Source organism: Homo sapiens, chromosome 11 (genome assembly GCF_000001405.40).
Source record: "Homo sapiens chromosome 11, GRCh38.p14 Primary Assembly".
Lineage (NCBI taxonomy): Eukaryota > Metazoa > Chordata > Mammalia > Primates > Hominidae > Homo > Homo sapiens.
In genome coordinates this window covers 6,729,845-6,753,386 of record NC_000011.10, presented here as the reverse complement: position 1 = coordinate 6,753,386, position 23,542 = coordinate 6,729,845, and the positions used below count along the sequence as shown (strand labels likewise).

Below are 23,542 nucleotides of genomic sequence, written 5' to 3'. Positions count from 1 at the left end.
AATAGGTGGTATAAAAGAGCATGAGGTTAAACCAGTTAATTATGATAAGGTGAAAGAAATAACCCAAAAGAAAGATGAAAATCCCATTTCATTTCAGGGCCATTTGGTTGAAGCATTCAGGAAATATACTAATACAGACCCAGACTCCCCAGAAGGGTAAGCTCTCCTGGGTGCACATTTTACTACTCAGTTTGCCCCTGACATTAGGAAGAAGCTACAAAAAGTATCAATGGGATCCCAAACCCCCATGAGCCAACTTTTAGATATTGCCTTTGGAGTTTACAATAATAGGGACAGTGCAGAGGAAGAGGCAAACACCAAAAGAACTGGCCAATAAGCACAATTGTTAGTGGCTGTTTTAGGCACTACTGCCTCAGGATTACCCACCTCAAGGAAGTGTGGTGAGACTGGCATCTGGGATGCTCAGATGAGAGCCCCCACTCACCAGCCTCTAGGCCAACATCATTGCACCTTCTGTAATTAAGAAAGCCACTGGAAGAAGGACTGCCCCAGGCTTAAGAGGGAGTCTGAAACACCCATACTTATAATGGCCAAGAAAGCAGACGCCTGAAAAGGCCTGAGGTCTTCTATGGGTCCCACTAGACACCTTACCATCGCCATGAAGGAGCCTCAGTAACCCCTGATAGAGCAGGCAAGAATACTGAGTTCTTATTGGACACAGGAGGTGACTACTTAGTTTTAACCTATTTCTCAGGGCCACTGTCTTACCACTCTTGTCCAGCAACAGGAATTGATGGCCAACGAAAAATTAGGAGAGCTGCCCTCCTCCTTGGTTACACCATTGAGGACCATACATTTTCCCTCAGTTTTACTTATGCCTGAGTGTCCTAGCCCTCTACTGGAGGGAGACTTACTTTCCCAATTACAGGATACAGTTCAATTTAGGGTGCCTCATAAGAAGGCAACAGGCCAGGAAGCGATGTTTCTCCTAGCTCTAAGTGCTTGCCTTAACACAGATAAGGAGAAGACCTCCCTTGCATCACACATTGCTTCTTGAGTAGACCCCTCTATTTGGGACATGGAAGTTCCCTGAAGAGCTGTTAATGTACTCCCAAGTCCAGGTTATTTAAAAACCCAATGTTAATTTCCCATGGGAAAAAAAAAACAATATTTTTTGATACCTGAGTCTCAGAGGGGCATCCAGCCCTGAATAGCAAAGTTCCTAAAGTAGGGGTTATTATAGTCCTGTCAGTCTCCATGTAACACTCCTATTTTGCCTGTAAAGAAACCAAATGGGGAATATAGATTTGTTCGGGTCTAAGGACAGTTAATGAGGAAGTAGTCCTAGTTCACCCAATAATTCCTGATCCTTATACAATATTGATTTAAGTCCCTGAAGACACTCATTGGTTCACAGTGTTAGACTTAAAGGATGATTTATTTTGTATACCTTTATACCCAGGCTCCCAGTATATTTTTGCTTTCAAATGAACTGATCCAGACACTCATGCTGAACCTCAGCTTACCTGGACAGTCCTTCCCCAAGGTTTTAAGGACAACTCCCATCCCTCTGGCAATGCATAGGATAAGGAATTAAGGGAACTATAGTTAACTAATGAGGCCCTCTTACAATATGTAGATGACCTATTAGTTTCGAGCCCTACCAGGGAAGACTCTGAAAGAAACACCATCCAGTTTCTTAATTTTCTGGAAAAGTAAGGGGATTGGATATCCCCTCATAAGGTCCAGAACTCTGTTTAGAAGGTTAAATATGTGGGGTATGTGCTCACTCCTGGGACAAGGACTTTGGCCCAGGAACAAAAAGAGACCATTTTGGCACTCCAGCCCCTTCAAACTAAGAGACAGTTAAGAGCCTTTTGGGGAATGGCCAGATTCTGCCAGATCTGGATTCCCAGGATTGGGCTTATGGCAAAACCACTCTATAAAGCTCTAAAAGACAGTGATCACAAGCCTTTGAATTGGGATGGAACCTGCCAATAGTCATTCTTAACCCAAAGAAAACCAGGAACCGCTCCTGTTTTGGCACTCCATAACTTAGAAAAACCTTTCACCCTCTATGTGGCTGAAAAACAAGGGATGGCTTTGGGCGCCCTAACTCAAAGGCTCGGGATTATCCCTAGACCAATGACTTATTTTTCTAAACACCTAGACCAGGAAGTCCCAAACTTTCCCACATTTTTCTGTCTTCTTCTGAGCCCTCCAAACTGTTCCAACCTCTGCCTGTTACACCGTTCCAAAATCGTTTCCACATTTTCAGGTATCTTTTCAGCAACACCACACTCTACTGGTACCAGTTTACCGTACTATTCTGTTTTCACACTGCTGATAAAGACACACCCAAGACTGGGCAATTTACAAAAGAAAGAGGTTTATTGGACTTACTGTTCCACATGACTGGGGGGGCCTCACAATCATAGTGGAAAGGAAGGAGGAGGAAGTCACATGTTACGTGGATGGCCACAGGCAAAGAGAGAGCTTGCACAGAGAAACTCTGGTTTTTAAAGCCATCAGATCTCATAAGACCCATTCACTCTCACTAGAACAGCATGGGAAAGATCAGCCCCCATGATTCAATCATCTCCCACCAGGTCTCTCCCACAACACGTGGGAATTATGGGAGCTATAAGATGAGATTTGGGTGGGGACGCAGAGCCAAACCATACCAGTTCTAATTGTAAAGAGGAGTTATTTTGGGATTGTTCAGGTACACTGACTCTTTTTTTTTTTTTTTTTTTGAAACAGAGTCTCACTCTGTCCCCCAGGCTGGAGTGCAGTGGCGCAATCTCGCCTCACTGCAAGCTCCACCTCCTGGGTTCAAGCCATTCTCCTGCCTCAGCCTCCCAAGTAGCTGGGACTACAGGAGCCTGCCATCATGCCCAGCTAATTTTTTTGTATTTTTAGTAAAGATGGGGTTTCACTGTGTGAGCCAGAATGGCCTCGATCTCCTGACCTCATGATCCGCCTGCCTTGGCCTCCCAAAGTGCTGGGATTACAGGCACGAGCCACCGTGCGCGGCCTACACTGACTCTTTTATTCAGACACTAGGGCTCTTTTGTGGTCATTGAGTATCATTGTTTTTTTCAAATCTTCAAGGATGTCCTTCTTTTGGATTTTGGCCCATGAGTTAGGGATTTTACCATTACCTGTAATTTTTTTTCCTGATATTTATATTCTAGCTTTGATCTGAAGTGAGAAAGAAACCATTTCCAAGATGGCTGGGTGGAGGAATCTGGAGGGATGCTCCCCGTGGCATAATCCACTCCTGCCTTTTGATACTTATATGGGATTTTTCCATCATTGCTCAAAACCAATAAACAATCACTTGCTACAAAACTAGTAGAGCAAGCCATGACAGAATGGCCTGTTTTATACTATTCCTCTCCATAGACAGCCTGAGGACAGGGGAAGGGAACACCATGGTCTCCTTCGTGTGTAGGAATTGTGTTTGTACAAATTGCTTCACAGCAGGGACACTGTTTCCAGCAGCCACAGAGATGTTCAGAGAGCATTTTCTCAGTTTTAGAAACCATTACTTCCATAGGCATACTTGAATAATGCTGTTCTATTCTCCTCATTGTGAGATCCAAAGCCGCACTCATGTCTTCTCTGAGAAACTCAGTATCTTTTATCTCCTGGTGTTTAATCCTTGTCAAGTCTCTCTGTGGAAAGATCAAGTTGCTCTCCAGGCGATCACAGAATAAATCCAACCACCAGAAGCAGTGCTGCTTTTATCTTTAGCTACTGATGTGGATTCATGAAGGGCAGGGAGGATGCCATTATTAATGTCAACTAAACTTTTCTCAAAAAAATCTTCATTTTTTTACCTGCATTGTCTAAACAGTATCTCTTAATATTGATTTTGATGTAATTCCTTAAAAAGCTATTCTTATTATGAAAGTATTGCCAGTAATGATCAAAGTTTTCTTCTTCTCCCAGAGAGACGAGAATGTGTTTCTCCAGGTTAGTCCTGTTTTCACTGAATGCAGGGCAGGTAGCTCACATGTCCCCACAATTTTAATGGTTATTTTTCCCCCATATGATGGTAGAGACAGCAGGAACGAGCTTGTGCCCCAGAAAATCAGTAAGTGTTTTGCTGGAGGTTGCTTCTTGGCAGGAAATCTTAAACCTCATCAAGAAATCATTTTTCTTGCTTTCTAGATAGTTTACAGGATCATTTGCTCTCTTGAATGCCCTGTGCATTTCTTTAGAATTCTCTGTTGCTCACTGGAATAAACACAAGCATAAGCTGATAATATATTTATTTTTAAATGTGTATCTTTCCTGAGTAGATGCAGGTTTCACTTCTTCCTCTGTTGTCTTTAGAATTTTCTGGATGTATTTGGATTGTAATCACATTGCTTTTTCCAAATATTGTTAATAGTTTTATTAAATCTTGAAACAATATGATCAGTAGTCATATTCATGAACTCTTTCTCAAGGACGATTAATGTCATTTACCTGTAATTTTTTTCTGACTATTAATGTCATTGAGAAAGAGTTCATGAATATGACTACTGATCACATTGTTTCAAAATTGTTACATTTCTTATTCATTTTGACATATTTGTCATAATTGATTTGAAACTTCTCTGCAGAATTTCTTGTTAGTATGTCCATGACATCCATCTCATGTTTTAAATACTCTGAAAGGATGTTTTCAGAATCCAAATCAGTGTCAGGCTCTGTGACTTTAGGAAGAGTTGTGGACACATCACAGACCCTTTTTTTCCGACATTGATTGAATTTCTCATGTAAGTCTTCCTCACTCAACTTTTTAGCCTTTACAATTAAAAACAATTTTCGGCTCCTTTCCAATAGTTTGTTTTTATAATCTCTCTTTTTCTTATCCAGTCTTTCTTAAATTTTTTAAAAAACGAATAAGTTCATTGGCTTTTCTTTTGCTGTCTGAAAGAAGTTGCTCTTTAAGGATTATTAGCTTATTTTCAAAATTGAACTCATTTTTCAAAATTTAACTTATGTTTCCATTGAACTTATATTTTATTCTCTGGGTCTTCATTAAAATGTGTTTCAAGTTCTTGCTTGATGGCTTCATATTCTTCTGTAACTGGAGCCTCAAATATGCTTGTTTCGAGTGTCTGAATTTTTCTTTTCTGAATCTGGTTGGTCAGCTGGTTCCGTTAGCCAAACACATGATTCTTCAGCTCCCAGGTCCAGTGGGGTTACACATGGTTTCCAGTTTGCTCATGGCCATGACTTCTTGGATGTTCCTGAAATGAAAAATAAAGTTCTCATGCACCAGAGCTCTCCACACCTTTCACATGTGTGCTAGACATCATTGTGGGTGTTCTCAATATTGATGGGCTTTTTAGTTGTCAAGGTGAGTTGCAATTTGATAGCCTAATTTTGGCACTTCCTCTTACATAGAATCAGTTGGAGAAATTTCTATCCAACTAGAAATATGTCAAATTAAGAACAGGAACAATGAATATCATTCTTATTACTGCTATGCAAACTGTGAATATTTATAACTTCTCTGGTCTTTGTCAATATAAATTTCTCCTCAGAAGGAGACTTTTAAGGTTCTTGGACTTCAAAAACTGCTACCTTGCCCAATGGAAATAACATAACTTCAAAAATAATCCTGCAATTCTGAATGCTTGCCTTATTAAGAATTTATTGCATCTATCTTAAATTTATAATTGATATATCTGTGTTCTTAAATGGTGTGGATACTTAAAAATATCAAATCAGAAGTGTGTTTTTGACCTTTCTTCTTAAAATGCAAAGAACAAATAAATGACTGTTACTCTCTTAGTGCTTGTGTTTAATAAAGAACTTGAGTTTTAGAAATTTAAATCACTGGAGGGATGTAGAAAAAGAGCCTCAGATGTTGCAAAAAAAATTGCTCACACACAGAAGTCACATGTTACCTTAGTGGGCTTCATTTTTCTCACTGTCAGGGCAGGAACAGATGGGAATTTTGATAAAAGAATCACTGAAATTGAGTGTTTCCTCTTTTTTCTGTAAAGCTCTGAGTTTATCGTGCGTCTGGGCCTAATCACTATTCACCCCATTTAATTAAGAAACTATGAAATGTTAATTCAGTATAAAGGGCTATTATCCTCAGAGGTGAAAGGCAAATAAGGGAGCTGTTTTGCAGGCATCTCTGTCCATCAGAGATAAGAAAAATGAGAGCTTTCGTTTAGATGGGCAGTTGCAGAGGCAACCATGGTTTCTTCTCTGTTAGACCACATAGTGTCATGGGAAGAAAGCTAGACTTAGAGTTCTCTGTCTGCTTCTTACTACCTGTGTGATCTTGGGTTTGTCATCTATCTCCTGTGATTATTTTTCTTTTTCCTATCTTGAAAATGGCCATTACCAAAACCATTTCTCATTAAGATGATCAACTGACATATTTTAGTTTTCTATTGCTGCATAACAAATTACCACAAACTTAGAGGTTTGAAATGGCACACATTTATTATTTTGTAGTTTCTGTAACCAGAAGTCCAGGTAAAGTACAGCTATGTTCTCTACTTTAGGATGTCACCAGATTGTAATCTAGTGTTGACTGAGATCATGGTCTCATCGAGGATTTGACTGGAGCTCTGGTTTGAGTGTTTGTCTGTTCTCAATTAATGTTGAAATTTGGTTCCTATTGTGGGGGTGTTAGAAGATGGAGCTTTTGGGAGGTGAGAGGGCCATGAGAGTTCTTGCCTCATAGATAGTATTAATGCTGTTATAAAAGGGTGATTTCAGCCCTCTTTTGCCTGTTTGCTCTTCTGCCATGTAAGGACATGGTGGTCCCAATGTAAACATGGTCCAGTTCCCATATGAACATGGTGTTCGCAAGAAAGCATAAACAGGCTTCCTTTCAATCAGCAGATTTAGAAACAAAAAACAAATACGAAAGTAAAACCTTACAGCAGGAAGTTTTGCACTGCTCTGAGGATAAACTCAGTTTCCTGTCTCACATAAGGGGCCAAAGCCTGGGGTGAAGCTGTACGTCGGCAGCCCCAGCCCCAGAAAAGGAACCTACTCTCCATGCACGTCTCTCTGGAGCAACCTGAAGACAGGATCTTGGCCTCAGGACAGGTAGGTAAAGAACAGAGGAAATAGAGCAGACAGAGAGATACAGCAACAGACCCAGAAACTAAAGTAGAAAGAGAAATTGATGTAAATAAACATAGGGAGCAGTCAGACACAGGGAGATTAAGACATGCTGGGAATACAAATGTGGATTTGGCATTGTCATTAATAGAGCATACTAATGTCCAATATGTGGCATTTAAGGGAAGAGAGTGAGCCAGATGGTAGGAAAAGGAAAAAGACTGGTTCCAAAAAGCTACAAATCTGGGAGAAGAAGGAGTATATAATTGAAACAGACAAAAAACATTTTGGTAACTTTTGTTATCAAATAAAAACAAACACATTTTTAGGTAAAGAGAGACTTTATTCACAAGGATCATTGCAACAAGAGGAAGGAGAGTATTGCAATAGAGAAAACCATCCAACCACAAGAGCTACAAGCATCTCAAAGACCAGAGAGAAAAAGATTTCCTTTTATGGTGAAGGATCAACAAAGCTAGAAAGATATCAGTATGGGGACAGGAAGATCACCATGAAATGTTTTACCCAAGGTCAGCTGATTCTTAGGAGGGTTGTATGCTGGGTCAGAAGAAGGATAGATCAAAACTCACGAGCATGGAAGAGGAAGAGAAATTTAACTGATATTCGGTCAAGTTAATAATCACTTTGTTTCTACTGTCCAGTGAGGATAAACAGTTCAGCTAATCTTTTATGAAGCTGAGAATGAGAATTTAAAGAGTCTGTGTCTGGCCTATCATAAAAAAAAAGACACATATGCCTTATCTAAGTCATATGGGGAGGGGTGGTTTTTTGTAATAATCCCTTTCTCAGAACACAAAAAAAGTGGATGGATTTCTTTAACCATAACTGTTTTCCAGGAACAAAGGGCTCAAGTAAAAAAGTTTCATGTTGTTAATTTGACTCATTTGAATAATAGCTAGTATTGCAAACACAGAAAAGAGAGTTGCTAACTTGACCTGGAAAATTAATGAAGCTTCACAAATAAAGAGAAACATGAACTAGGTCAGGAGTGTAAAATCCTAGGGAGAGAAAGTAGGGAAGGGTTCATATAGTGAAATATGCAAAGTCAAGAAACATCTTGAGGTCCTTGAGGTGGAGGGAAGATGGCTGATGTGGCATTTAAGGGAAGAGAGTGACCCAGATGGTAGGAAAAGGGAAAAGAGTGGTTGTAAAAAGGAATTACAGAGGTTAATTGCTGCCACATTATGAGGGGTCTTAACGGCCAGGGTCACGTAGTTTTCATTGTATCATAAACGAATGTAGGATTTCAAAAGTTTGTAAACAAAGAAGTAAATGATTTAAATACGATTTTCAGGATGGAATGTAGAAAATGGATCACAAGAGGAGTGAGAAAATAGATTCAAGGGCTACTCTCACAGAATAGGCAAATAGGGCACACTAATGTCCAATATGTAATGGGTATTCAACAGGAAGCAAAATTATGGGGGAAGAACTAGGAAAACGAAGCTTCCACGACATAAAAGTTTCCTGCTTCACCATTTCACCATCAAAACTGGGTGGATTTCCTTTATCAAAAATTTTCCTAGAAGAAGATGTGGCCAAAGGGCTAGAGCCAGGAATTTAGGATGAGTTTTTAATTGAATAAACCTTTCTACATAGTTAATCCAACAAGTCCAAAGAACAACTCCTAATCCAAAGGAATAGTAAGATATAGGGTAGGTGTCAGAGTCTGAGGCAAACTAAAATTTGGTAGAAACTAGAAAAGACAAGAAGGGCCTAAAGCATCACATAGTTAACAGCAGAGATACATCTCCTCAAAGAGGTACGCTCTAAGCACAAAATCTAAAGTAGTCTCAAGTGACCTTTAATCCCATTACTTCCTTATTTCTTTCTTAGCACTTAAAAAACTCTGAAAATGTTATCTACTTATTCATACATTTACAAGTTCATAATCCTTCCTCTATTAAAATGTGAATTCTGTAAGGGTAGGGATCTAATCTATTCATCAGTCAACCCACAGCACCTAGAACTTTTTTCAACACACTGAAAGCCCTCAATAAACATGTATGAAGGCTGGGCACGATGGCTCACGTCTGTAATCCCAGCACTTTGGGAGGCCGAGGTGGGTGGATCACCTGAGGTCAGGAGTTTGAGACCAGCCTGGCCAACATGGTAAAACACCGTCTCCACTAAAAATACAAAAATTAGCCAGGTGTGGTGGCGGAACCTGTAATCCCAGCTACTCAGGAGACTGAGGCAGGAAAATTGCTTGAACCCAGAAGGTAGAGGTTGCAGCCAAGATCGACATCATGCCACCCTGGGCAAAAGAGCAAAACTCCGTCTCAAAAAAAAAAAAAGCGTGAAACAAATTCTGGGATTTTTAGCTTATCTTTGATAAATCTCTAATCCATGTTACTTGTGTGATCAGTTTCACTTAAAGGAATATTTTCATGATGGATACAAGAAAGGAGAGGCAGTCAAAAAAGACAGGTCCCTAGAATTAGTAGGATGAAAATATTGTAGAGACATCTGACTTGGTAATTTGAATGTGAGCATCAGGCTTATAGAGAACTTTTTAAGAAAAAGATGAAGTGAGACTAAATGATGAGAAGTAGGTGGAACGAATTCATCAATTCATTTCATCAACAAACATTTATTGAGCCAGATATGCCTAATTGAAATACTTTTTTGAGAAATCTAGAAATAATGAAAATATAAAGAAAGTAAAAACTTATAGAATAGGCAGGAACCAATTTGCATTTAAGTAGTATGGGAAGCCTCGAGTATGTTTTCTTGTCCAGAGTGAAGCAACCAAGAAAGTAAGATGCTGGAGATATCTTAGACTCAAGAGATAGAAAGCAAGACCCTAGGGGAGATAAGTAGGAGCAGGATTTCAAGGACGGAATTAGTATTGCACAGAGATTAGGGACACTTCTTCCTTGGGGATCAGAAAAAAAAAAACACAAGGGTGGCCACTGTAGTCTTAAATTTGAAGGTGAAACGTTTGAATGTGAGAAAGGCCTGACCAGATGGCTTCTCTAGAATTAGGAAGTGAGGCCATCAAAGGGGAGAGGACCCTTAACATGCTTTGATGTAAATCTTTTTGTCACTCTTAGCTTTTTCTCTAGGCTGCTGGATTTTAGGCTCAAAGACTCTCCCATGCATTTTCTTATTTCTCTCTTCAACCCTATTGTCTAGCAAAGTGCCTGGCACTAAGGAAGAGATAGATAATACAATTCAATATGAAATCATGAAGATGTGATGTCTGATTGTAAGGACTGAAGGAAAGAGAGGTTTCTTTGGAGTCTGAAATGCTGGAAAGATGGGAATATTATAAATTATTTTTGCCAGTTATCTTTCTTTATGTGGAAGTTTACAGTGTTATTCTTTTGTATTTGACTCCTTTCTCACAACTTAATATTGAGAGATTAACCCATATTGTTGTGCAGAGCTGTGGTATTTGTTTTCATTGTTGTATAACATTCTATTGTATGAATATGCCAAACTTTATTTACCCATCTGGATGTGGATGGATATTTGCTTTATTTCCAGTTGTGACTTTTATGAATAGTGCTGCCATGAACATTCTCATAGATGTGTCTTGGTGCATATGTGCACATATTGGCATTTATCTAGAGATAGAAATCTTGGATTATCTCTGCCACTTTATATGTATCCATGATTTCTTGACTGGATTCTTTTCCCTACCTTTGTGGTACTTATTAAAACCAATTCCATTTCATTGTAATCGCTCAAGGGAATCACCTTGCCCATTACCTAGACAGAGCTGATTCATCAAGACAAGGGAATTGCAATAGAGAAAGAGTAATTCACACAGAGCCAGCTGTGTGGGAGACCAGAGTTTTATTATGACTCAAATCAGTCTCCCCAAGCATTCGGGGAGCAGGGTTTTTCAGGACAACTTGGCAGGTTGGGGGAGGCCAGGGAGCCAGGAGTGCTGACTGGTCAGGGACGAAGTCATAGGGAGTCGAAGCTGTCTTCTTGCGCTGAGTTTGTTCCTGGATGGGGACCACAAGATCAGATGAGCCAGTTTATCGATCTGGGTGGTGCCGGCTGATCCATTAAGTACAGGATCTGCAAAATCTCTCAAGCAATGATCTTAGGAGCAGTTTAGAGAGGCTCAGAATCTTTCAGCCTCCAGCTGCATGACTCCTAAACCATAATTTATAATCTTGTGGCTAATCTTAGTCCTACAAAAGCAATTTAGTCCCCAGGTAAAAAGGAAGTCTGCCCTGGGAAAGGGCTGCCACCATCTCTGTTTAAACTATAAACTAAGTTTCTCCCAAAGCTAGTTCAACCCACACCCAAGAATGAACAAGGACAAATTGGAGGTTAGAAGCAAGATGGAGTTAGTTAAGTTAGATCTCTTTCACTGTCTCATTCACAATTTTGCAAAGACGGCTTCATCATTATTCCATTAGTTAGGATATAATCACCCTTTTGTGTGAGTGTCATGACTGCACTCCATCATTATCTGAGACCTTCAAAAATAATTTTCTATTAATATTGCATAAATTCACTCTCACCACAACCACCACATACGCACTGTCCTCATCCATAAAACATTATCTCTCCTATATTGAACCAGCTAGAATTTTAATTAGAAACTGTTCCTAATTTTTACATTATACAACCACAAGTATTTTGCTAATAGTTTTACTTGTTCCTTTACTAATTTGATTGGTATATAATGTTAGGTTCTGGTCATATTATTTAGAATATGATATTACATATTTATATTATAATCATATCCTAAAATATCATATTATATTATAAAAGGATGCTTCCCAGAACTGCAATATGACCTGATTCTTTGCATTGAAAGTATACGTCAAATGTTGAAAAGAATAATTATAATGATAAAATTATAATTTCATTATTTTAAAATTTTGTTTTTATAACTATTTAACAATTTATAATTATTTATAATTGTATTATTTTATTATTATATATTATTAATTAGAATAATTGTATTATTCATTGTGTTCAACATTTGATATATACTTTCAAAAATTTTACAATATTTCAAGTATTACAATAATTATAAGTTATTTTATTAATTATTAATACTTTGATTTGCTTTGTTCAACAGTTGATGTATACTTTCAATATGAAGAATCAGGTCATACTGCAGCTCTGGGAAGTGTTCCTCTATTGTTTCTTTGATCATTTTTCTCCTCTATTCTTTCTAATCTCTCCTTCTCAAAATTATGTTAGTCAGTCAGCATTGGCAGCACTTTTGGATCTATGTTCCATGTCTCTTTAGAGCTCACCCTTTTTCCATTTCTTTATCCTTTGAGGTTAAATTCTGAAACAACCCTCAGTTGAACATTCTAGCATAGCAATAGAGTCTTCAGGTGTGTTCATGCAAACATTCAGCCAGAAAGAATACTTTAGTTGGAAACCAGGATGCAAAAACTCTCAAATGAGTTGTTTCTATATCCAGACCATCCAAAATGGCAAAATTAATATTTTACACTCCCACATTTTCTCCACTGAAAGTGTCTCCTTAGGATAGTGTTTTTTCTTTTTTTCTTTTCTTTTCTTTTCTTTTTTTTTTTTTGGAGACAGAGTCTCACTCTGTCGCCCAGGCTAGAGTGCCATGGTGTGATCTCTGCTCACTGCAACCTCCGCCTCCTGGGTTCAAGTGATTCTCCTGCCTCAGCCTCCCAAGTTGCTGGGATTACAGGTGCCCGCCACCACACCCAGCTAATTTTTGTATTTTTAGTAGAGACAGAGTTTCACCATGTTGGCCAGGCTGGTCTCGAACTCCAGACCTCGGGTGATCCACCCGCCTCCGTCTCCCAAAGTGCTGGGATTACAGACATGAGCCACCATGCCCGGCCAGGATAGTGTTTTTACAAAATGGGATTGAATACTTAACATTTGGAAGCATGTATTAAATGAACTTTGGAGTGTTTTAGAAAATGATAGTTTCTGAACAATAACTAGGCTTCACATGTCAGAACTTCTGTGAGTGGGACTGGGAATTTTTTTTAATGTCCCCAGATGATAATTTTAAATAAAGATTGAGAACTGATTTGAAATATTAACTCATACTTCTTACTCTAAATTAGCTTAAAACCAAGCTTGTTTGATGCGCCAATATGTCAGGTAAATCAGGCATAGAAGTGAAGACATTAAAAGCCTTCACACCTCCACTAGTTTTTTGCAGCATTTTCCTTTCCTTGAATGAATTCCTGCCTTCTCTGAATCTATATCCACAATAGACCAAAGTTGTATTATTGGATAGGAGGAAAAATTATTGTCCAAATTATTGTCTAAATTTTTCCAGCATCCAAAAGTATGGGTAAATAATCTACCTCTAGCACACAAGTCCTTCTTTGTGGGTAACAGTAGAGTTGACAACAACTAAGGGACATTTTCCTCCTCCTCTTCCATCTTCCCATCACTCGCATACCCACTTCTTTCTCATTTGCATGACCCTAGCACCTGCTCTGGGGCATACAAGGCTACAAAGAAGGACTTGTTACCTTTGGAGACTATCAGAACAGGTTCCTAATACAAAAGTCTCAGATGTACACACCATTTTATAGGTGTATATTTTAGACAGTAAGTCTGTGAAATGAGAAAACATGGTCTTGAAAAAGATGTAATCCTGTTACTTGTTATTACATCCTTCCTGTAACCAAAAAAGTTCACTTTTTATGTAACTGCAAAGGATTTCCTCCCAGATACTCTGGCCAAAGGAATGGATTCCTTCTTCATTTCCTAACTATAAAGATAATTACCTTCTGAAAAAAAAATACTAAAGTTTGTTCTGACACTACCTACACCTAGTCAATGCTTTTGCATTAATCCTCAGTAAAGATCAATTTAGTAAGCTTCATAACTACCAGGGACTCAGTCTTTGGTGAGAACTAAATACGTGAATTAATTTCCACATTGCTCTAGAGAAAGGTATCTTTCTCTAGAGTTTTACTTGTTCCTTAACTAATTTGGTTGAAAGATATATTTCTCTAGAGCAATGTGGAACTTAATTCATATATTTAGATATCAATTATATTTAGTTCAAAGTTGAAATCTTTTTCTGTTTTGCCTGATGATCAAAAGTGGTATCCTGACTGGGCGCGGTGGCTCACGCCTGTAATCTCAGCACTTTGGGAGGCCAAGGTGGGTGGGCCACCTGAGGTCAGACATTCAAGACCAGCCTGGCCAACATGGTGAAACCCCATCTCTACTAAAAATATAAAAAATTAGCTGGGCATGGTGGTGCATGCCTGTAGTTCCAGCTACTTGAGAGGCTGAGGCAGGAGAATCGCTTGAACCCAAGAGACAGAGGTTGCAGTGAGCCAAGATTGTGCCATTGCACTCCAGCCTGGGTGACAAGAGTGAAACTCCATCTAAAAACAAAACAAAACAAAAAAAAGTGGTGTCCTTTAGGATACAAACTGATGTTCCCAAATTACTAATGGATCATATTTTTCATTGGGTACATATCAAAAGGCTGCCAGCTCCCATCAGGGAAAGTCATCTTGAAAACTCTCTTCTGACCCATTTCCACAGTGCCCCACAGAGCTTACTCATGTGGAGTGCAGAGTGAGGAGAGTCTGATGGTGTGGTGGGACCTACATTGACTCCCCACCTCCTAGAGCCACACAATGTTTGTCCAAATATGCACCGGGTTGTACAGTAGAGACAATTATCATTGAAAATTCTTCCCACCTCCCTACATGTCCTGGTCTATTCTCTTGAAATGACAGCTCTGAGAATTCTAGCTTAATAGAAGCCTTAGAAGGAAAAAGCAACTGCAGTTTGTATCCTATTTTTTGGTTCCCTCCTAACCCACTTGGTGGTCAACGGCTATAGGATTTCAAAGGCTAGAGAGACCTCCCTAGGTCACAACCTTCATCTCCTTGAGGAAAGAATGTCCCTTCTTGGAGAAAAGAACAAAACCAAACCAAACCCAGGACTTGCCAAAAACATTAGCAGAAAAGAGACACAGCATCTCCTGTTACCTTCAGTCTACACCAAAATAATGATAGTCTCCACATTAAAGCAATTCCCATGCCCAATATTTCTTATTAACTCATAGTAGAAGTACCAGGAGATGGGAAGATTCTTCTGAAAGTTACCCAATAGAATCAGATTCCCTGGCTGCAGCTGTGGTATGTAACTTCAAGTTACAGTACAAAGGAAAAAGGCTTGGCCTTAATTCAGGCCCTCTGTCTTGATCATTACTTTGTTTTTCAATGTCACCTTCCATATCTTCATCATAACTTGACACAGTAATACAAAAGACTGTATTAATGCTCCCTCTAGTGGCTGGTCCGCCATTCTACTTTAAATCTTTGTGGTCACCTGGAGATTGGAGAGAGACCTATCTGAGGAGCTTCTCTCTTTCCTGTGTTTCCGTCCCCAGTCCTGCAGGTTTCTCTGGTGCTTGGGCCTTGTTCATCCTATTCAAGCAGCCCTTCTTTTCCTAACTTTTTTTCTGCTATACCTGCTAGCTTCCTAGTTACTTCAGTTCCTTGACTAATCCTTTTTTTTTTTTTTTGAGACTGAGTCTCGCTCTGTTGCCCAGGCTGGTGTGCAGTGGCGCAATCTCAGCTTACTGCAACCTCCCCGCCTTGGGTTCAAGCAATTCTCATGTCTCAGCCTCCCGAGTAGCTGAGATTACAGATGCCCGCCATCACCCCCGGCTAATTTTTTGTATTTTTAGTAGAGATGGTGTTTCACCATGTTGGCCAGGCTGGTTTCGAACTGCTGGCCTCAAGTGATCCTCCCACCTCAGCCTCCCAATGTCCTGGGATTACAGGCATGAGCCACCGTGCCCAGCAAACTTTGGCCAATCTTAACCAGAAATCATCCCAACAATTTTGCCTTCATCAGACAGAAAGAGATGAAAGCACCAAATGAATTCCATGTCCTGAATAGCCCAGCTACAATTGCTAAGCCTCCTAATCTCCAATTTCTTTCTGCCCACTCTCTGTTCCTCTTTGTGTTTTAACTTGTCACAGTGAAAAATTCCTGAAACCCAATATGAACATACATTCCATATAAATTCTCTGGGTTAGCTCTTCTAGGTCCTCAGTCATGGCTCCTCTCTATATATTTTCATTAACTCTAAGAAATTCTGTAATCTCTAGGAGAATGAGATGTTCTCTTGGCTTGACAGTGGTAACCTCATTTAGGTCCTCCTTCCCTTCCATGAGAATTTACATGTTTGAGCCCCACATCCCACTGGGATGGACACTGTAGTTTCAGCAGGGATTTTCAAAAAATTAAACGACTGAAGTAGTTAACATTTATTGAGCCCCTACTTCAGATCAAACACTGGGATAAGCACTTTTTTTGTTTTGTTAGTTGGCAGACAGATAAGGCAGGCTCCATGATTTGTGCCTTATATAATGTCTCCTCTTCTTTTGAGTAATATGGCAGAGGTGAAGGGGTTTTTCAGAGGCAATTAAAGTCCCAAACTGACTTTGAGTTAACCACAAGGAAGACTATCTTGAATAGGCCTGACTTAATTAGGTAAAGCCCTTAAAAAAGAGACTGAGTCCTTCCTTAGGGCAGATACTTCTCTCTCCAGTTGCCTTGAAAGGTAAGCCATCGTGTTGTGAGAGGAGCTATGGAGATGGCTATGTGGTAAGGAACTGTAGGCAGCCTCCAGGAGCTGAGAGCAGCCCTGGATGACAGCCAACAAAAAAATGGGAACCTCAGTCCAACAACCACAACGAATTGAATTCTGCCAACACATAAGCCTGGAAGCAGTTTTTCTCCAGCCAAGCCTCTGCATGAGAATACAGCTCAGTTAACACCTGGATTGCAGCCTTGTGAGACCCCAAGCAGAGGACCCAGCTAAGTCATGCCAGAGCTTCTGACAGGAACTATGATAGAGATGTATTGTTTTAAGATACTAAGTTTGTGGTAATTTGTTACACAGCAATATAAAAATAATAGAGATTTCTAGTTTCTAGAAGTTGAGTGGTGCTATAACAAAAACCTAAAAAACATGGAAACAGCTTTGGAATTGGGAAGTGGGAGCAGGCTAGAATAATTTTGAGGAACATGATAGAAAAAGTCTAAATTGCCCTGGATGGACTATTAGTAGAGATCTAGAATTTAAGGATACTGCAGTGAAGGCTCAGAAGAAAGTAAAGAACATGCTATTGGAGTCAGGAGGAAAAGGATCCTTCTTATATAGTGGCAGAATGACCTAGCAAAATTATTTCCTGGAGTTACATACAAATCAGAACCTGTAAGTAACAAATTTGGTTATAGTTAAAGAGACTTCCAGGCAAAGTGTTGAAGATTTCTCCTGATTTCTTCTTTCAGCTTGTAATAAAATGTGAGAGGTGAAAGATAAATTTGAGAAAAGAATTATTAGATAAAAAGAAACCAGGACTCCATAATTTTGAAATTCTCAGCCTCTCCAAAAGGCAAAACACACTACAATTGAGAGACTCCATCATGAATCTCTGCTGGGTATGACTGTATAATCCTTTGCTGAAAAATCAGAAATATAAAAAGTTTAGATTAATCAGGCACATAAAGTGTTCTTTTAAGAGAATCAGAGTTTGCCTCCCAGACATCAATCCAACACAAAGTCCCCTAGTTGGAAGCTTTAGGGCACTGTCCCTTCCCCTTCTCAGCAGAAGGCCAAAGTATGGAAGGGTTTATCTGAAAACGGTCTTTAAATGTGGCTTTTTTCTAATAAACTCCACTGTAATACATCAAAGACCCACATGTTCTTGAAAACTTAGTTCAGCAGAAACACTGCCACTTAAACTGAAAGACAAAGAGAGTACAGAATGAAAAGAGGCTGTTAGATGCCTCCCCCCAAAAAAAATCCTACTGGCAGGAAGAAGGCTAATAAAACTACTCAGCTGTGAACACATGCTACCTTTCATGAAAAAGGAAGGATGACTCAGGCGGCAGAATTAAGAACCCAGAGAGTAAAACTAGGAACCATAGAAAATTACATTCAGATCTTGAAACGTAATAAAGGAATGCCAACTATAGCTTTCCCAGCTGGATTTCAAGATTATTATGAAAAAGTGACACATTTTTAAACTTCTATTTTCCCCCTTTTTGAACTAAAACGCCCATAGCTTTTATCCTATGTCTGTCCCATCATTGTATGTTAGGTATACTGGAGACAGATAACTTGGATCTTTAGTTTCACCAGTCTGTAGATGGAGACCAACACTTCCCCAGAAGGTATACTTAACAGATTACACCTAGGAGTTTAATCCATGCCTGGACTTAATTTAAATAATGAAATTTTAGAGGTCAAGTAATTCATAGTGGGATGACACTCTCAGAACTGATAAGGGGTATAGTAGTCTGTTTTTACACTGCTATAAAGAAATACCCAAGACACAGTAATTTATACAGAAAAAGGGTTTAATCGACTCAGAGTTCTGCATGGCTGGGGAAGCCTCAGGAAACTTACAATCATGGCAGAAGGGGAAACAGGCAGGTCTTACGTGGCAGCAGGAGAGAGAAGAACAGGGGAAACTGCACTTATAAAACCATCAGATCTCATGAGAACTCACTCACAATCATGAGAACAGCATGAGGGAAACCACCTCCATGATCCAATCAACTCCCACTGGGTCCCTCCCTTGACACGTGGGGATAACAATTCAAGATGAGATTTGGTTGGGGACACAGAACCAAACCATATCAAAGGGGATAAATTTATTTATGTGAGAGGGACATGAATCACTAGGGGCCAGATGGTAGATTGTGGTAAGCAGATCTTAAGGTTCCCATGTCCTGGTGTCCACATATTTATGTAATTTTCTCTCTTGAGTCTAAGTGGGTCCTGTGATTTGCTTTTAGCTAATAGAATATGGCAAAGATGACAGGATCTAACTCCCATGATCACGTTACATTTTAGAAGCCACCATTCCAGCAGATGAGGACAAGAAGTTCCTCCATGCTGGCTTTGAAAAGGCAAGTCACCATATTTAGAGAAGGCCTGTGGAGAATAGCATGTGGCAATGGAGAATATCATGTGGCAAAGAACTATGGGCAGCCTCTGAGAGCTGAGAATGGCCTCTAGACAAGAAAATAGGGACCTCAATCCTATAATTATAAGATGAATTCTGCCAACAACCTTAGAAAGCTTGAAGACAGATCTTTACCCTGCTGTCTTAGTCCATTTGTGCTGTTATAATAGAATACCTGAGACTGGGTAATTTATAAAGAATAGAAATTTATTTTCTTACAGTTTTGCAGGCTGGGAAGTCCAAGATAAAGCCACCAGCATCTGACAATGGCCTTCTTGCAACATCCTCCAACAGAGAGGAACAACATGTCCTCACATGGCAGAAGAGCACAGAGGAAAAAGAAGACCAAACTCACTCTTTTATAAGAGCATTAATCCCACATAGGAAGGCAGAGCCCTCATGGCCCTTTTGCTTCCCAAAATTCTCATATTCTAATACCACCACGGTGGGAACCAAATTTCAACATGAGTTTTGGAGCAGACAAACATTCAAACCATAGCACCGCTCAAACCTTTGATGAGACCACATCCTCAGCAAACACCTAGATTAAAATCTGGTGAGCTCTTAAAGCAGAGAACATAACTACACTATGCCTGGACTTCTGACTTATAGAAACTGTGAGATAATAAATGTGTGTCTTTAAACCCTCAAGTTTATGGTAATTTGCTACACAGCAATAGAAAACTAAAACATGTCATTTGATCATCTTAATAAGAAATGGTTTTGATAGTGGCCATTTTAATATAGAAAAAAGATAAATAATCACAGATGGTGAGTAACGAACTCAAGATCACACAGGTGGTAAAGAGCAGACAGAGAACTGTAAATCTGGTTTCCTTCCCATGACACTATGTGGTCTCATAGAGAAGAAACCATGGTTGCCTCTGCAACTGCCCATCTAACCCAAAGCTCTCATTTTCCTTGTCTATTATGGGCAAAGCTACCTGAACAACAGCTCTTGTTTGCCTTTCACCTCTGAGCCCTTTATATTTAATTATGATTTCATAGTTTCTCAATTAAATGAAGTGAATAGTAGTCATGCCCAGAAACAGAGTAAACTCAAAACTTTGTGGGAAAAAGAAGAGACATTCAATTTCAGTAACTCTTTCATCAAAATCCCCATCTGCTCCTTCCCTGACAGTAAGAAAAACAAAGCCCACTAAGGCAACATGTGATAAGCATATTTTTGCAATGTCAGAGGCTATTTCTTCTTCTTTGTCTCTCCATTAACTTAAATTCTTTTTTATTATTATTATACTTTAAGTTTTAGGGTACATGTGCACAATGTGCAAGTTTGTTACATATGTATACATGTGCCATGTTGGTGTGCTGCACCCATTAACTCATCATTTAACATTAGGTTTATCTCCTAATGCTATCCCTCCCCCCTCCTCCCACCCCACAACAGACCCCGGTGTGTGATGCTCCCCTTCCTGTGTCCATGTGTTCTCATTGTTCAATTCCCACCTATGAGTGAGAACATGCAGTGTTTGGTTTTTTGTCCTTGCCATAGTTTGCTGAGAATGATGATTTCCAGCTTCATCCATGTCCCTACAAAGGACATGAACTCATCGTTTTTTATGGCTGCATAGTATTCCATGGTGTATATGTGCCACATTTTCTTAATCCAGTCTATCATTGTTGGACATTTGAGCTGGTTCCAAGTCTTTGCTATTGTGAATAGTGCCACAATAAACATACGTGTGCATGTGTCTTTACAGCAGCACGACTTATAATCCTTTCGGTATATACCCAGTAATGGGATGGCTGGGTCAAATGGTATTTCTAGTTCTAGATCCCTGAGGAATCGCCACACTGACTTCCACAATGGTTGAACTAGTTTACAGTCTCACCAACAGTGTAAAAGTGTTCCTATTTCTCCACATCCTCTCCAGCACCTGTTGTTTCCCGACTTTTTAATGATCGCCATTCTAACTGGTGTGAGATGGTATCTCATTGTGGTTTTGATTTGCATTTCTCTGATGGCCAGTGATGATGAGCATTTTTTCCTGTGTCTGTTGGCTGCATAAATGTCTTCTTTTGAGAAGTGTCTGTTCATATCCTTCTCCCACTTGTTTATGGGGTTGTTTTTTTCTTGTAAATTTGTTTGAGTTCTTTGTAGATTCTGGATAGTAAACCTTTGTCAGATGAGTAGATTGCAAAAATTTTCTCCCATTCTGTAGGTTGCCTGTTCACTCTGATGGTAGTTTCTTTTGCTGTGCAGAAGCTCTTTAGTTTAATTAGATCCCATTTGTCAATTTTGGCTTTTGTTGCCATTGCTTTTGGTGTTTTAGACATGAAGTCCTTGCCCATGCCTATGTCCTGAATGGTATTGCCTAGGTTTTTTTCTAGGGTTTTTATGGTTTTAGGTCTAACATTTAAGTCTTTAATCCATCTTGAATTAGTTTTTGTATAAGGTATAAGGAAGGGATCCAGTTTCAGCTTTCTACATATGGCTAGCCAGTTTTCCCAAAGCCTTTTATTAAATAGGGAATCCTTTCCCCATTTCTTGTTTTTGTCAGGTTTGTCAAAGATCAGATAGTTGTAGATATGCAGCATTATTTCTGAGGGCTCTCTTCTGTTCCATTGGTCTAGATCTCTGTTTTGGTACCAATACCATGCTGTTTTGGTTACTGAAGCCTTGTAGTATAGTTTGAAGTCAGGTAGTGTGATGCCTCCAGCTTTGTTCTTTTGGCTTAGGATTGACTTGGCATTGCGGGCTCTTTTTTGGTTCCATATGAACTTTAGAGTAGTTTTTTCCAATTCTGGGAAGAAAGTCATTGGTAGCTTGATGGGGATGGCATTGAATCTATAAATTACCTTGGGCAGTATGGCCATTTTCACGATATTGATTCTTCCTACCCATAAGCATGGAATGTTCTTCCATTTGTTTGTATCCTCTTTTATTTCATTGAGCAGTGGTTTGTAGTTCTCCTTGAAGAGGTCCTTCACATCCCTTGTAACTTGGATTCCTAGGTATTTTATTCTCTTTGAAGCAATTGTGAATGGGAGTTCACTCATGATTTGGCTCTCTGTTTGTCTGTTATTGGTGTATAAGAATGCTTGTGATTTTTGCATGTTGATTTTGTATCCTGAGACTTTGCTGAAGTTGCTTATCAGCTTAAGGAGATTTTGGGCTGAGACGATGGGGTTTTCTAGATATACAATCATGTCATCTGCAAACAGGGACAATTTGACTTCCTCTTTTCCTAACTGAATACCCTTTATTTCTTTCTCCTGCCTGATTGCCCTGGCCAGAACTTCCAACACTGTGTTGAATAGGAGTGGTGAGAGAGGGCATCCGTGTCTTGTGCCAGTTTTCAAAGGGAATGCTTCCAGTTTTTGCCCATTCAGTATGATATTGGCTATGGGTTTGTCATAGATAGCTCTTATTATTTTGAGATATGTCCCATCAATACCTAATTTATTGAGAGTTTTTAGCATGAAGCGTTGTTGAATTTTGTCAAAGGCCTTTTCTGCATCTACTGAGATAATCATGTGGTTTTTGTCTTTGGTTCTATTTATATGCTGGATTACATTTATTGATTTGCGTTTGTTGAACCAGCCTTGTATCCCAGGGATGAAGCCCACTTGATCATGGTGGATAAGCTTTTTAATGTGCTGCTGGATTCGGTTTGCCAGTATTTTATTGAGGATTTTTGCATCGATGTTCATCAAGGATATTGGTCTAAAATTCTTTTTTTTGGTTGTGTCTCTGCCAGGCTTTGGTATCAGGATAATGCTGGCCTCATAAAATGAGTTAGGGAGGATTCCCTCTTTTTCTATTGATTGGAATAGTTTCAGAAGGAATGGTACCAGCTCCTCCTTGTACTTCTGGTAGAATTCGGCTGTGAATCCATCTGGTCCTGGACTTTTTTTGGTTGGTATGCTATTAATTATTGCCTCAATTTCAGAGCCTGTTATTGGTCTATTCAGAGATTCAACTTCCTGGTTTAGTCTTGGGAGGATGTATGGGTCGAGGAATTTATCCATTTCTTCTAGATTTTCTAGTTTATTTGCGTAGAGGTGTTTATAGTATTCTCTGATGGTAGTTTGTATTTCTGTGGGATCGGTGGTGATATCCCCTTTATCATTTTTTATTGCGTCTATTTGATTCTTCTCTCTTTTCTTCTTTATTAGTCTTGCTAGCGGTCTATCAATTTTGTTGATCTTTTCACAAAACCAGCTCCTGGATTCATTGATTTTTTGAAGGGTTTTTTGTGTCTCTATTTCCTTCAGTTCTGCTCTGATCTTAGTTATTTCTTGCCTTCTGCTAGCTTTTGAATGTGTTTACTCTTGCTTCTCTAGTTCTTTTAATTGTGATGTTAGGGTGTCAATTTTAGATCTTTCATGCTTTCTCTTGTGGGCATTTAGTGCTATAAATTTCCCTCTACACACTGCTTTGAATGTGTCCCAGAGATTCTGGTATGTTGTGTCTTTGTTCTCATTGGTTTCAAAGAACATCTTTATTTCTGCCTTCAGTTCGTTATGTACCCAACTTAAGTTCTTAAAACTCTCAGATGCTT

The 23,542-nt window shown here is 39.3% G+C and overlaps 1 pseudogene, besides 3 other annotated features; it reads right to left on the bottom strand.

The window, feature by feature from the left end:
* Positions 3,018-5,262, bottom strand: GVINP2 (GTPase, very large interferon inducible pseudogene 2; annotated as a pseudogene).
* Positions 6,709-6,898: an enhancer, noted in NCBI's record as "active region_4358". NCBI's record gives its function as "activates an Ori minimal core promoter by ATAC-STARR-seq in GM12878 lymphoblastoid cells {active_cell/tissue: GM12878}" and the evidence as "EXISTENCE:reporter gene assay evidence [ECO:0000049][PMID:35858748]".
* Positions 16,361-16,540: an enhancer, noted in NCBI's record as "active region_4357". NCBI's record gives its function as "activates an Ori minimal core promoter by ATAC-STARR-seq in GM12878 lymphoblastoid cells {active_cell/tissue: GM12878}" and the evidence as "EXISTENCE:reporter gene assay evidence [ECO:0000049][PMID:35858748]".
* Positions 16,791-16,880: an enhancer, noted in NCBI's record as "active region_4356". NCBI's record gives its function as "activates an Ori minimal core promoter by ATAC-STARR-seq in GM12878 lymphoblastoid cells {active_cell/tissue: GM12878}" and the evidence as "EXISTENCE:reporter gene assay evidence [ECO:0000049][PMID:35858748]".